The sequence below is a fragment of the Homo sapiens genome, chromosome 18 (genome assembly GCF_000001405.40).
Source record: "Homo sapiens chromosome 18, GRCh38.p14 Primary Assembly".
NCBI lineage: Eukaryota > Metazoa > Chordata > Mammalia > Primates > Hominidae > Homo > Homo sapiens.
The window spans coordinates 65,836,487-65,852,639 of NC_000018.10; the positions used below are offsets into that span (position 1 = coordinate 65,836,487).

The 16,153-nt window shown below is 34.8% G+C and overlaps 1 protein-coding gene across 4 annotated transcripts in view; it reads left to right on the plus strand.

The window, feature by feature from the left end:
* CDH7 (cadherin 7) overlaps positions 1–16,153 on the plus strand; it is a 140,086-nt gene that overhangs the window by 86,235 nt on the left and 37,698 nt on the right. For all 4 annotated transcript variants that reach the window (NM_033646.4, NM_001362438.2, NM_004361.5 and 1 more), the window contains exon 7: positions 7,326–7,579. In NM_033646.4, the coding sequence (NP_387450.1) occupies positions 7,326–7,579 (254 nt within the window). The remainder of the gene's footprint in view (positions 1–7,325; positions 7,580–16,153) is intronic.

Here is a 16,153-nt window from a genome sequence, read left to right on the forward strand (position 1 = left end):
TATCATTATTGTATTCCTGATCATATCTTTGTATAATTTATGGTTTTAGACTGCAATCATTTCTGCAATTATTCATTGTATTTTGTTTCAACCTACCTTTGGAGCACTGGCACTTTCTATCTACTGGTAATAATCCATTTGCAAGCTGCAAATGTTTGTTCATGTTCTGTCCTAATATCTGTGTTCAAGTATAATTAAAATAATAATAATAATAATGACTGTCATAAAAGTATAAAATGGACCTGGAGACAACCAGTAATCTCTTTTGCTTATTCTAAATTTGCTTACACTTATTTTACTGTTTTTCAGGTAATTTGTTTAGCCTTAGATATTTTTTCTTTGTAAATCAGTAAATCTCTATTTTATTCAAAAATAATCATATCTATTGCAGATTTGTAAGATTAATAAAGTTAGGATCTTTTTATAAGAATCTCAAGTCTAGTACAGTTAGAAAGATAAGAAAGTATCAGTCTGGCTGCAGAGAATACACAGAGCTGGCAAGACCTCCAGAGCTCTTCTCCCCCCATAACCCATAGACCTCTATGAATGCATCAACAGTGTGCACCTAGGTAGAACATAGTATTTATTGTTTATATATTATCTTTCTCTCACCTTCTTCTGTAGAAAATATAATTTCTTGCTAAAATTCATGAGTCACAAAAATTTCAAAATAGAGCCCTCATCTACCTACTAAGATCACTTGCTGCTGTGAAAGCAAAAATTGCACAGGACAGTTTAACAGGTAAGGAAGATTTTATTCAAGGCTGTTGCAATAGGAGAGAGAAACGAGACTCAGTCCAAACTCACCTTGGCTAAAGCAAAGGGCTGCAGAGTTTTTATGAGCTAGGATGGAGGGTGGGGATCATAGGCCAGTTGTGTTTGATGATTGGCTTTAACCAATAGGAAAGTAAATGTTCTTGTATCATCATGACAGGGGATAGTTTTACAACCTGGAAAAAGGCTCCTGCTGAAGTTAGGCTCTTATCCTTCTACAGAAACTGGGAGGTATTGGTTCTGTCTTCCTTGATGGTAAAATTTCATAGAGATGGCTTTGGGGCCCTTGAGGAAGACATTCCTTGGTAATAAAAGTGTCAAGAGGATTTTTAAAAGATTTACATATTAAAAGGGCAGAAAAAAGATTTACAATGACGAATTTTCTAAAGAGAGGTCAGGGGCCTAAAATTAGAAAGAAACCTGTTTAAATTTACTCAAGCTAAAAGAAACATAAGGCCTTCTTGGTCATAACCCAGGGAAATAAGAAAATAGAAACGACAGAATGCAGTTGTTCATAATAAAGGGGATGTATTTTGCTTTGGAAAGTTCTTGGGGAGTCATTATATTTAAATGTACAGAATTATTCCTGCTTTTAAACCTCATCCAAGGTTGTAGATCAGGTTTAAGGTTCTGGGTAGTATGTTTATTTAGAGATTTAGAGTAATTTTTTTTTTTTTTTTTTGAGACGATGTCTTGCTCTGTCGCCCGGGCTGGAGTGCAGTGGTACAATCTCGGCTCACTGCAACCTCTGCCTGCTGCGTTCAAGCAATTCTCCTGCCTCAGCCTCTCCAGTAGCTGGGATTACAGGCACGTGCCACCATGGCAGGCTAACTTTTGTATTTTTAGTAGAGATGGGATTTCACCATGTTGACCAGGCTGGTCTTGAACTCCTGACATGATCTGCCTGCTTTGGCCTCCCAAAGTGCTGGAATTACAGGCATAAGCCACCATGCCCGACCTAACATAAAATTATTGTAAGGGAAAAGTTATAAATGAGGGTTATTTTCCCATAGGTATGGTCTCACTCAAGCCCATTTACTTAGGAAAAAAGATTTACATTTATTTGTTCAAGAAGTAGGGAAAAGCTACAGATATTGAAAGCTACAAAATATACTTTCATTTGAAAAACAGCTAGAATCTCCAGAGAAAGAAATACTCTTAATGAAGACAGTCATAGAACTTTTGAACAAAATCAAAATTAAACGTAAGACATTAAGTATATAGACATGCACATATACACATACACTATCCAGCCCTGATAGTGTCATGCTACCATTAAAGAGAACAGAATGGAGAAATTTAGAAGAATTTAACTTGGATCAATTCCTGAAACATTAACAACATTGTTGGCTAAAGGTGCGAGATATATAAGGAGGTCATTGAACTTAACGAGTATGTATTTGGCTATAAACCAGAAGCAAAGCTATATTAATGAAGAAAAATGAAGTGCAATGATTTTATTAAATGAATTCAGTAATTAACTTGTTTTAATATTGAAAAGGCTACAAATGGCAAGGGAAATTTTGAGACTCCACTATTCGTTATAGTCATATTTTTTAATCCAACAATAGAATTTGCCAAAGACAACAACCTAGGTGCCAGAGCAGAACAAAGATGAGAAACACGTACTCTTTACTTTCCATTTGCTTATAATCTAGCAGGAAATAATGCTTCTAATAACAGCATAATAGTAATACAGCAAGTATTTATACAGTGATTATTTTGTGTCAGTCACTGTTCTAGGTGCTATTTATTTCTCAATAATTTACAAAAACCTCATGAGGTTGATGAGGTCAGCAAGGGCTTATACGTGATAACATCATACAGTTGATGGATATATATGACCATGAGTTCATGTAGTATCTGTGCTCTTTAAACATGGGCTTTTTGGACTTTTACTAGAACTCTTTGCTATTTAGTTTTCACATGTATTAATAATATTGTCTTAGTCCGTTTGGGCTACTATAACAGAAATATATGCTGGATGTTTAAACAGCCAATATTTATTTCTCACAGCTGTGGAGGCTGAGAAGTCCAAAGTCAAGATTTGGCATCTGACGAGGGCCCTCTTTCTGGTTCATACACAGCCATATCCTGTGTCCTCTCATGGCAGAAGGGGTGAGGGAGCTCTCTGAGGTCTCATTTATAAGGGCCCACTAATACCACTCATGAGGGATCCACACTCAAAAGCTAATTAAATCCCACAGGTCCCACCTCCTAATGGCATCACCTTGGGGGTTAGGATTTGAACATATGAATTTTTGTGGTGGTTGGGGGGCGGACACAAATATAAAATGCAAAAGAAACACTAATCTTACATTTTTTAAAATGCATGTTAAAGATATGTGTGTACAACTCTTTGTAGTTAGCTCTTAATGTAAAAAAGTTTTATTACATGGGTAAGGCGTTTATGGAAATGCTTATTAAGAAGGTGATAGTCTCTAGAAGATTTCTCTGAGAGGAATGATAAAGTTGTGTGAGAAAGAAATGCAATTTTTGAATCATCTGAGAAAGAAGGAGCAGCAGGTGATATATACTAGAAGAGAAAAAGTGTGCTGGATGCTGATCACTGAAGGCCATGAATGTTAGCCTTACCATATTGGGCTCCTTAGATCAGAGATTGGCAAACAACTGCCTGCCTGTTTTAGCCTGGCCCTTGAGGTAAAGATGGTTTTACATTTTTAAATGATTGGAAAAACTCAAAACAAGAAAAATGTGTTATGATACATGAAAACCATACAGAATTTAAAATCTGGGTTACCTATCAAAAATTATTATTTGCAAACAATCATATTTATTCATTTTCATGTGGCAGAGAATGTACTCCCTGCCAAGTCTAATAGTCACTAATATTTATACTTCACAAAAATGTTTGCAGACCCTTGCTTTACACAGAATTCTTTTTATTTAATCCTAATTTAATTATCCTTGATGACAATAAATTTAAAGACTATTTTTGTACTTTGGAAACTAATACACCAAAAAAGCTGCTTCTCTCTTTTAGTGTCTCTAACACAGATGTCACTTGATGTATGAAAAAGTATCTGCTAGTCTGTATGTCCCCTATTTGATTCCAGACTTGAAGTGGTGAAGCCACAGAGTCATTCTGGGAACCCTAGAGATGCTAAAAGAGAAGCAGCGCTTTTTTTTTTAACCCTGGTTAAATTTCCAATTATGTAAGTATGCACTTATATGTATGATATGTTTGGCTGTGTCCCCACCCAAATCTCATCTTGAATTGTAGCTCCCATGATTTCCATGTGTTGTGGGAAGGAACCAGTGGGAGATAATTGAATCATGGAGGTGGTTTCCCCCCATACTGCTCTTGTGGTAGTGAATATGTCTCATGAGATCTGATGGTTTTATAAGGGGGAGTTTCACTGCACAAGCTCTTCTCTTGTCTGCCACCACGTGAGATGTGCCTTTCACCTTCTGTCATGGTTGTGAGACCTCCCCAGCCACGTGGAACTGTGAGTCCATTAAACCTCTTTCTTTTGTAAATTGCCCAATCTTGGGTATGTCTTTATCAGCAGTGAGAAAACGAACTAGTACAATGTACTTCCAAACATCGAGATAATTTATTTAGAAATTACTTTTATTTTTTTCTATTTCCTTATTTGGTGTCTTTTCTTAATTGTTATTTTTCAAGTATAATCTTAGTAATTAATTCTAATAGTTATGGACTATATTACATATCTAGAAATCAACAATGAGAAGTCATATAAAAAGTAAATTTTACTGTAAAAATTTAATTTTTTTATTCAAATGCTTAACAGTCTTATCACATCTTTGAAAACTAGATCCTGGCATATTTTGATATACTCTGAAAATAATTTTGTGAAGCAATTCCTTTTGTCTGTAATCTTGATTCATAGACTTTCATATGAATTCTTTTATTGCTTTATTTTCATAATAGCTTTTAGGCAACCAATCATCATGCATAATAGTGTGTTTTTTCATGACTTTTTAGCATCCAGATGTCTATACCTCATGTTGCTCCTTTTAGATACATTTAAAAAAACAAGTTGCTGTAAAAAATTGCATTCATTTCTGCAGTACATTTTAAATTATTCTTTCATAAGGGAGACAAACTTTTACTTGAATACAGAAATACTTGGTATGCCTTTTGCTAATGTGAAAACCTGAATAAATAACTTAAAGGTTGTGGTTTTGCATTGATTTGAAAGGAGCTGACAAATCGGATTTCTAAGTATATTCTTTTACATATAGACACATCATATTTGAAAATAAGATTTCTCTTATAGTTAGTAATTTTTATAAAGAATATAAGAACAAACTGAGGTTATTATCTAAACTGCGAGTATGTTTTGGTTTCTCAGTAGATGCTTTTAGGTAAATGAGAATGCTTCAAGTGTCCCCAACATAAAGGTTGGAATTTATAGATAGGCCCAAGAAAATTTTATGAGTAGGTCAGGTTTCTTAAGAGAGGATTTGCTTCAGAATCACTTGACGAGCCTTCTAAAAATATATCTGCCTGTACCTCGTCCTGCACCTGCTGAATCAGAATCCATTGGAAGGGGCCACACATATTTTAGAAGGGTCTCTGGTGGGTTCTCATTCTCACCTTTTTTTGACCACCGTTGGACAAGACCGACTCTTAGATAATAAACAAACAAAAAATGTTAGCCTCATAAAAATATTACTGAGTTTGTTAATACAATGTTGTCATGGCAGTATTTTCTATGTGTCCCAACATTTTTATGTAAAACCTGAGATAAAAATTAAAACTTTTTTGTTCTGCAGCAATTCTAGAAAGTGTTTCTGTGCTCAAGAAAAACAATATACTTGACTGTTATTTCTTCCCTTATCTCTCATTTTAACCAGCAGGATTCTTTGGGTCAGATGTATAGTTCAATTTTCAGCCTCTTGTACACTGAATATCTGTGTTCTAATTTTTTTGTTGTTGTGTTGATTCAAGAAAAGGAGGCTCAAGAATTTATTGAGACTCCCCTATGTATAAAAAGCATTTTAGGTACTGGGAATAATAGTGATGAACAAAATGATCAGGGCTTCAAATCTAGTGGCTAAGAGAGATATTAAATAAGCATTTTAGTAAGTCCTGTCTGGTCTAGATATTGTAAGCCTATTTTGTATATTGATTTATATATATATATGTGTATATTTTCCTTTTGCTTACTCGGAGATAAGCTGTGGGATCTCTTTAATATTTGTGTGCAAACATATATATACACATATGTAATGTGTATACATATATTTATATATATAATGTGTATATGTGTGTATATATGTGTTATATTTTATGTAGCAAAGTGAATATGCACTGTACACAGTATGGGATATATTATATACAGTATAGTATGTGTATATACATCCTATTGTATACTTATATAACTATTGTTTTATTTATTTTGGTTATTACCTCCTTTGTGGGATAAGTCGGAATAAATGCGTGCCTGCATACATATACACACGTATGCCCAAACATACAGTGAATGAATCTGAATTACAATTCTTAGTATTACATATTAGCTCACATTTCATAATGCCTTATTCTTATATACTGACAACTAAGTCAAGTATGTATTATATTTTTCAGTATTCCTGTAAAGTTTTTTTTTTCACTGTTTTTAATTCTTTTTGTTTTACATCATTAAATGTAAAAAGAATTTGGGGACAGTTTTGCAAGTGGTAAGACTGAAATTGAAAGTCATAAAAAGCTGTTACTTTCTGTATCCATTGAAGAAAAAGAAGCATGTTATTGTCACAAACAACGTCTACATGTTGTGTATATGATTTTTATTTTTCAAAGATGGTGCTCTGCTACTGCAACTAGTTTAATTGTCCTTACAACCTTTTTCAGCTCTCATGCGGTTTGAGTTGGTCACTAATTTTTGGGAAAATTGTAGCATGTAAATCCTCTTGGAAAATTAGATACAATGTAAAGATTCTGAGATATAACTGTTAACCTCCTAAAATAGAGATCTAGTATATTTTGATGGAGGAATAGCGAAGGCAGACATGATGGGTGCTTCATGGAGAAGAACTGGCCATGTTTGCAGATTGAACAACCTCAGGATGGCACACTTGCCCCTGAAGCCACACTTTGAGTGCCCTGAAAGCTCAGAATCCTAATTAAGTCCCCCAAATCACTGACCTTTTAAATGAGAAATTCAATAGAAAGTAATGCTTTTCTTAATTTTTAAAGTGCACCCTGGGTAGTACAGTTAAGTTACATGGTTGAAGAATATTACATTGACAGTCCCTGTTGGAAAAAAAATAAATTTGACCAGTTTTTCTTTCAAATCGTATTCCAAAGACTGGCATCTGTCTGTCTGTGCAGCGTATAGCAGCAGAGTGGATGAAGTTGATTCAAAAGCACTAACCATTGTTTGTGAGCCAGGAAAGCAACAAGAAATCTGATTGGCATTGTTATTTATTATTTTTGGATGCTGATGGTGCATTTACATGACAGAGTCCTTCCTAAGCTTATTGACATTCATAAATGAAAAGGCTCTGCTTTGCTGACTGTTTAACCGGTAATTTAATTTTCCTAACGACTTTCTTTACAGGAGCTGGATTTTGAAGCCAAAACAAGTTACACGCTACGGATAGAAGCTGCAAATAAAGATGCCGACCCTCGCTTTCTGAGCTTGGGTCCGTTCAGTGACACGACAACTGTGAAGATAATTGTGGAAGATGTAGATGAGCCCCCTGTGTTCTCTTCACCCTTGTACCCTATGGAGGTGTCGGAAGCTACCCAGGTTGGGAATATCATTGGCACTGTAGCAGCTCATGACCCAGATTCTTCCAATAGCCCTGTGAGGTAAAAACTCATTGTTGTCCTTTTCTATGGTTTTACAAACAATGCATTCTTGTTCACAACTCTTATTTTACGCTCTGATGTTCCTTTGTTCATAACAAATAAAAACCAGATATATATATATATCGAGTTATAACAGCAGAGGTAAAACAGCATTAGAAACATACATTTTACTAACTCAAAAATATCATCTGATTATCAAGGCCATTATCGTTGAGCCATATTTTTAGGCCTCCATTACTATCCACAAGCCATAGCTGATGTTTCTATTCAACCAATTATCCTGAATCTCTTTTAAAGCAAAACATGTTCAAAAATGAAGCAATGCATGTTTAAGTTGTAGGATACATGCATATGTTAGAAAAATAATTGTATCAACAATTCAAATTAGGGACTAATTTCTAAACAAATCATTTTATTGATATTGGTCTACTTGAACAGTATATATTTGTTCAGTTTAATATTTCCACTTAATTTTTTTAAAAAAACTAGCTACATATAAAGACTATTAAAAATATCTTTTCAGTAGTCTTGTATCTAGGCTAGATATTGTTATAGCCAAGTAATATCTTTAAGACTGACACAATGGTGATATGTAAGCATTTCAAAATATGTCAACATTACATTTTGCACTTTTTAGCAAATTTATAGTATGAGATCTACATGTTTTTGTGTGTATGCATGTGTTTATGTGTTTGTGTGAGACTTATTTTTTTGAGGTAACATTATAAATAGAATATACTTGAAATAAAATGTCTGTTGTATTATATGTCTTATTTGGGTTTGTAAGTAAAATACTTCACTTTTCAACATAAAGGTTTGATTTTGATTACAAAGACTATAACGTAAAAATAAATAAAACAACAATGATTGTTTTATCTTCAGATATGTTCAATTAGAAACTATCCACAGACTTTTAGATTTAAATAATATTTAACAATGGTAAGTGCTTTTGAACTAACTTTTGAGATAAGTCTGGACGTTGGCTCTAAATTGTCATGAAAATTACTTAATATTTATTGATTTTAAAAAGCCGATAATGTTGTTTCTTTCTAAAGTAATAAAGTGATTATGTACATTTATACACATACACACATATTTTAAAGTAGTATATATACATACATATATGTATATGTGTATATATATGTATATATATACATACACACATATATATAGAACTAGTAAAGGATTGGTATAGAAAAATAGTTATTTAAAAAGTGAAATCATATGTATTATGTGCTTATCTAGGCAGCAAATTCAGAATGTATTGATGATTATACTGTTTTTAATGTGGTGATAATAGACCATTTCCGAGAGTATAATCTGTGCACAAGAATATTTATGAATCACAAATATAGCAGATAGAATAAGCCTTCCCCTCTTCTCTGTAATTGCCCTGCCTTCATGGTCAAGAAAACTTTCTGACTGCAGTTCAGCCCCACATACCAAGTTATATTAATTGGGGCAAACATGAGTTTGAGTTTTGTTATAGCATTCCATCTCTTAGTGAAACCTTAAATCTCTTGCCCTCATGAACAATCAACCACAGTACAATTACTGGCATAGATTAGCTACTTAGGACAATTTGGTTTCTGCTTGAATCATTTAATTTAATGGAAAGAAAGAGAGACATGCTTTCATAAAGTTGGAGATATGGAGAGTGACCGAAAGACATTACTATATATCATAATTTACTACTAAAATGAATGATGGAGCCAGGTGGGGTGACAAATGCCTGTAGTTCTAGCAACTTGGGAGGCTGAAACAGGAGGATCACTTGAGACCAGGAGTTCTAGACTGCAGTGAGCTACAATTGCACTTGTAAATAACCACTGCACTCCAGCCTGGACAACATAGTGAGACCCCTGTCTCTAAAATAAATAAGTGAATAAGTAAAATGAAAGGATTTAAGAATATTTTCATTGATTGCATTGATATTTTTATCCTGTTTAAATTATTCTATTACCCACTCCCTTGTTGTCATTCTGTTGAAGCCTTTCATAGAAAATATTTCACTTTTTATAATATTTTCATTGGAAAAAAGTCAATATTATTATATAATAATTTTAGGAAGAAGAAGGAATAGTTGGCCCAAATGGGAGGTGACTTGAGAAAGAGCAAGTAGTGACTAGAGAGAGATGAAGTGAGCTCCACTTCTGTTCTCTGAAGCACAGAGGTCAAAGGCAGAACTTCTGATTTTGGAAGTAAAAATCTCTGTGGTCTTTATCAGTGAAAGAGTACCCACCCAGCACCATATTTTTTACCCCACTTTCATTTCCTTAAAAGTAATGACGGTGACCTGAAGGTTCAGGTTTCTATTAGCTTACATCGTTATCTCACAAATAGAGAAATAGATAGACTTTGTCCCCAGTGAATTAAAATTTTATTTTGTATATATGAATATTTCTTTTGCATTTGTAGAATTAATTTCTTGAGTCATGTTTAATACTTACATACTTGAAAGTTTTTACACGATTTTCATAAGGTCAGCACAATTATTTATACCTTTTTATTCTGCATTTGTCTCTCACATACTTCTCTTCCTCTATCCATTTATATAATATCCCTTAAGAGGCCAGTCTCCTTATTTTATAATTTGTTGCATATGCATTACTCTCACGCATTCTCTGGAAGACTGGTTCCCTTCCCAGCACTGCTGTTTGTGGAATGGCCTCGGAGATGTCACCTTGTCTTCTGTGTTTTTGTATTAGCCAGCAAAAAGGAAAAGTAGCTGATGCTTTATCCCAAGCTTCTCTGATGATTGAATAAGAGCGAGAAAGTAAATGAAGCTTTTAAACTGTGAATCATGACTTGAATATTACCATGTATTATCATTATATATTGCTATTATTATAGGTTATTGTGTTTCCATGCCATTTTAATTCTGAGATTAATGAAGTCAGTAAAAGAGACATAGCATTTTATATGCAACCATATTGACAATCTATATTGCAGGTTGTCTTGTACTCACGCGTATTCCAATAGATATAACATATTGTATGGCTTTTTGATGAATATAAGCATGTATTTGCATTAGGCACTCCAGTAACTATCAAAATGTAAATCCTGTCTCATATGTTTAACATAATAAAACATATGTTAATGGATGAATAAATAGCAGTCTTCTGAGGTACTAGGAAAAGTGAATCTCCACATTGAGATGGGACATGAGGAGTCTTAACAATTGTGACCTTTGTGCTTTACACCTTTAGCAATATTGTAGTTCTTTGAGGAATGGAAAAGCATTATTTGTTTTGTTGTAATTGTTTAAAATTAGACCAGTAGGGTTTGACTTGTAAAACAGTGTGGCCAATGGGATGATTAGTTTTGAATTTATTGACATTCTCTGTTGTATAATACTGAAATCTAGCATATGTCATTTATGTTTGTAGTATTTTCTGATATATGAGGCAATAAATTAGAATTCTAGAAAAATATACATTTAGTTGCCCCCAGCAAGGCGAAATTGATATTGTCTTCCTACATGATCCCTGCCTTGCACAGCATTTTAAAATTTCTACCTACTTTACTGAAGTACCACCCAAAGGCTATGCATAACTCTTCTCTATGAATCTGCTTTTTCCTTAGAGAAAGACTGGGGCACCTATATGACTATTGGAACCTGGTCATTCTTGACGTTTACAAGTGTAGTCATCATAGATGGAAAGATTAAAAAAACCCAAACCCCAGTAACTGGCCAGAACATAACACGATTGTGAATGTTAGGTCTTTTTTATACTTTACCCAACATCCAGATAGCTTATCTAGACCACCATTTCATGTACACTGTACTGTCCTTTTGTGGCAGGGAGTGGTATGTGGAAATAAAACCATACGTAAACTAAAATTGCAGTCAAAGCCAAGGGTAGAAGTTAGTTGACACTTGAGATTACTTAGAGGGAAAAAAAACGATTTTTTTTTTTAAAGAAAAATGGGTAATTGAGGGCAAGCACGTTTCCGGCTTGTTATTTGATAAGTAGCTGTTTATCATATCATGTAAATTTTGGCCCTAAGTACTCAATATCGGGCTTTATCTATTGAACTTGGAAGGACAGATTGTGGTCTGCTGATTCTGGTCACGTTTCTGAGTGATAGAAACTTCACTTCTGTGTTTCTCATCCAAGATGGTAAAAGATGTAAGAACAGCCTAGAGTCTAGAGGATTTGACTCATTTCTCATGTCAGCATTGGCAGACTGATCAATGACTGAACAGGCATTCATTAAAAACCTGTGTTATGCAAGCACTGGGGAAAATGCTAATGAGAAAACAAAGATAAATAAAACATTTCCTCTGACCTCAAGGAACTTACAATCTGGATGAAGTAATAAGAGCTCATAAAAGTTAAACAATATGGGGAAAAATATGCCAGCACTGTAATATGGCAAATTGTAAGATAAATAATCAGCACTCCAAGTTCACTGGCTGTGAGATTTCATTTGAAGGAGTGGTAGTGTAAGTAGGGCTTCAAGAGATGGCAAGATTTGGGCAAGCCAAGAAAAATCATGCAAAGTACATTTATGTTTTATTTGGTTATATCCTAAAAGCCTAGTACTAAATTATGAAATCAGCAAGTTCATTTCTGTAGGCATCACAGCAAGCCCAAAGTTCCTATACTAAAAATGGCCAATGAAATAGAACATGATATTATTACAAATAAGATCAGATATGAAGACAGGAAAACAAAAAGTAATACGCATCATTTTAAGCATTTCTAATAATCTAAATATAGAAATATGTTTATATTTATGTTAAAGGATACTTGGATAATATTTACCCGTGGGCTTTTTCAGCATTCCTAGTATTGTATATCCTCACATAAAAAGTGATAATATTATGTTGGAAATTACTTTATGTGATGGATTAGTGTGAACATATTTGGGGTGTTTGAATAATTCAGTGTGTATTTTTTAAGTAGCTTGTACTCATTCATATATGTGCACATATGAAATCTAAATTATTTGTGAATATCTATTTTATTCTAAGAAAATTAGCAAACCAACCAGTAACATAACATACAGAAAAATAATACTAGCAATAAAACTGATTAACTTAAAAAGTAGCAGATATTATATCTCTGAGAAGACTATAAGCTGTACTCTATTTCAAAATGCTGCTCATTTTAGCATAACTACCACTAAAAATGAAAAAAAGAAAGTATATGTTCATGTATGGTGAAAACATAGCGTGTTTTCATTAGAGTAGTGTACTTACTATCCAGAGATAATTTTTGTAGGTTAAATTTTGCAGGAAATGCCTAATTTATTTTAGCCTTTCCTTTTTCTTTTCTTTTCTTTTCTTTTCTTTTCTTTTCTTTTCTTTTCTTTTCTTTTCTTTTCTTTTCTTTTCTTTTCTTTTCTTTTCTTTCTTTTCTTTCCTTTTCTTTTCTTTTGCCTGGCTGGAGTGCAGTGGTGTGATCTCGGTTCACTGCAATTTCTGCCTCCCAAGTTCAAGCAATTCTTCTGCCCCTGCCTCCCGAGTAGCTGGCATTACAGGCATCCGCCACCACACCTGGCTAATTTTTGTATTGTTAGTAGAGACAGGGTCTCACCATGTTGGCCAGGCTTGCCTCGAACTCCTGACCTCAGGTGATCCATCTGCCTCAGCCTCCCAAAGTGCTGGGATTACAGGTATGAGCCACCACCCCCGGCCCATTTTTTCATGTTTTATTCTATTGCTCTAGAATTACAAAGCTCTGCTGTCAGCAAAGACTTTCTTAGTTACCTTTTTGGAAGACTCCAGGTAAAATAAATTCACTGAAAATTACATTTGTTCTGATTTGTTTCTTACAGTATTTTTCATATCTAAAATACTTATTGAGGGCCCAGCACGGTGGCTCACGTCTGTAATCCCAGCATTTTGGGAGGCCGAGATGGGTGGATCATTTTAGGCCAGGAATTCGAGACCAGCCTGGCCCATGTGGTGAAGCCCTGTCTTTACCAAAAGTACAAAAATTAGCCAGGTGTGGTGGTGCATGCCTGTAATCCCAGCTACTCGGGAGGCTGAGGCTGAAGAATCTCTTGAACCCAGGAGGTGGAGGGTGCAGTGAGCTGAGATCACGCCACTGCACTCCAGCCTCAGTGACAGAGTGAGACCCTGCCACACTATATATAATATATATATATATAAAATTAAATACTTATTGAAAAGTCACATTAATAAAGGAATACAAAAATTCAATGTTCTTGGTGTAAATCATAGAGAATTATTCATGGGGTTAAAAAGTTAGGGAATATTACTTTTTATCATGTACTATCCTCTTAACATTCTTTAATTATAATCAACAGTAATTGGCCACAGTTCATTTTTTAAAAAAGAAGTTTATTGAAATAATTGGGTATAGCTCAAAGAAAGAAAGGAAAAAACTGAATGGCCAATCTTCAGAAAAGAGAGGAGTAGGGTTCCTCTGTAAATACATGTAGCGAGGGTAGCAGGCTCTTCAGAACGTGGCAACTGTGATGAATCAGCTGCAACTCTTCTTGCAGCTGTCTGTTTAAGATTCACATTCCCTGCAGAGGTTTTATTATTATTATTATTATTATTATTATTATTATTATTCATATCTTGATATATGTGGCCGTCTCTTCTCCAAAACATTCTGGACATCTTGAGTGCCATCAAGATTGCATATGAGATTTGAAAAAGTATAAAACCCTAAAGGAAAATTGTGTTGACATAATCAGAAGAGGGGTGAGGATACAGGCAAGGTGTCTGCTATCATTAAGCTCAGAAATCAATAGTTCATTTTTATTCTTTTTTTTTTTTTTTTGAGACAGGTCCTCAGTCTATCGCCCAGGCTGGAGTGCAATGGCACAATCATGGCTCACTGCAACTTCCGCCTTCTGGGCTCAGGTGATCCTCCCATTTCAGCCTCCCCAGCAACTAGGACTACAGGCAGATACCACCACGCCCAGCTAATTGTTTGTAGAGATGGGGCTTTGCCATGTTGCCTAGGCTGGTCTCTAAGTCCTGAACTCAAGCAATCCACCCACCTTGGCCTCCCAAAATGCTGGGATTACAGGCATGAGCCACAGTGCCCGGCCTCAATAATTTATTTTGAAGTTTACTTATCATTAAATTCCTAAGAGACAAGCACTATTATTCCTATATTAGAAGTAAATATGTCCCCAGCCACACAGTTAGCAAATATGGTTCCAGGAATTTAGTGAGGTCTATATCAAACCTGTACGATCCTTACAGCAATACACACACACACACACAAATGCACATATCGACAAACTTTATAGTAGATTAAAATTTCTATTCAAATTATTCATCTATTTCAATTGATGAAATTTTCCCATGTTTTTGTATTACATTATCTTTTGCCACTTTGGGAGTACTGATGATATATTTGTGTTAATCTAGCTCACTCACCTGCACTTTCTGTTTGTGAACACTGATATGTAAATTAATAGCTGGTGATAAGAATGCTACCTGTGAATATAAAGAAGAACATTTTAATTGATCTCTTTAGCTCATCAAATAGCTGCAGTGATAATCACCGGTATTCATTAAGGAATTCATTTTGTAACAGATGTTCAGAACACTGAAGACACACAGATGTATGAGATATGGTCTTTTGCAGAAACCCTCTTGTTATGTAGCTGTAGAAGAGATCTTACATGAAAACTCATTTTAAAAAATTCAGTGTTAGATCTGAAAATGAGAATTCATCCTGTAAAACTTTCTCATTGAACAAATGAAGAAACAGAAAAGCACAGATGAAAAGCCCCAATTAGAACAGTAGGTTAGTGACAGGGTAATGGCCAGAAATACTGTCCTTTAATCCTCAGTCTATGGTCCCTGGTGGTGTAGCACAAGGAGCATTTGGTAAGATCCACGGATCACACACCATGCAGGTTTTCTTAAAAAAGCATGACTTCTGATGTAATTGGAAAGGCATGCTGCTTTAATGCTGCTAGTTTGTCTTCAAGGAATAGCAGGACTAAAATAATTGGAAAGGAGGAAAAACAGGAATACAGAATGACCAACATGAGAAAAGGCACAGAATTGGAGATGTGTGTGGTATATTTGTTCACCACTTAATACATCAGTTTGACTGGTTATGAGTTTAGATAGGAAAGCAGAGGGGTGAAAAAAAACAAATAGAAGCTGAATTATAGAGATGTAGGTGGCTGAAACTACAATTTGTATGCAACATAGTATGCTGGAAAACTGGCTCAAATAGTCATGATTCTAAATCTTGGATCCAACCCCCAACTGTGAAATTTTAGAGTCCAGTATCGAAATAACCTCAATAATAATATATGCTTGCGTTAGTTAGAAATTGTGCTTGGCTAGTAGCAGCAAAGCTTAACACTAATGACATACTAATGAGAAGTCTGGAGCTATGCTTTCAAGGACTGACACCTTGGCAGCATAATGCCATCAAGAGCCTTCACTTCATTTTTTAAGCACTTGTCACCGCTTATTTACAATGTGGCTTCTGGATCTCTTCCATTGTGTTTGTGCCCCAGGTGAGAGAAAGGGGGAGGGCAGAAATCAAATACCAGGTAAATTAACAGCTATCACTCATGCTTTAAGGAGTTTTTCAATTAGACTATAGGCTAAAAATG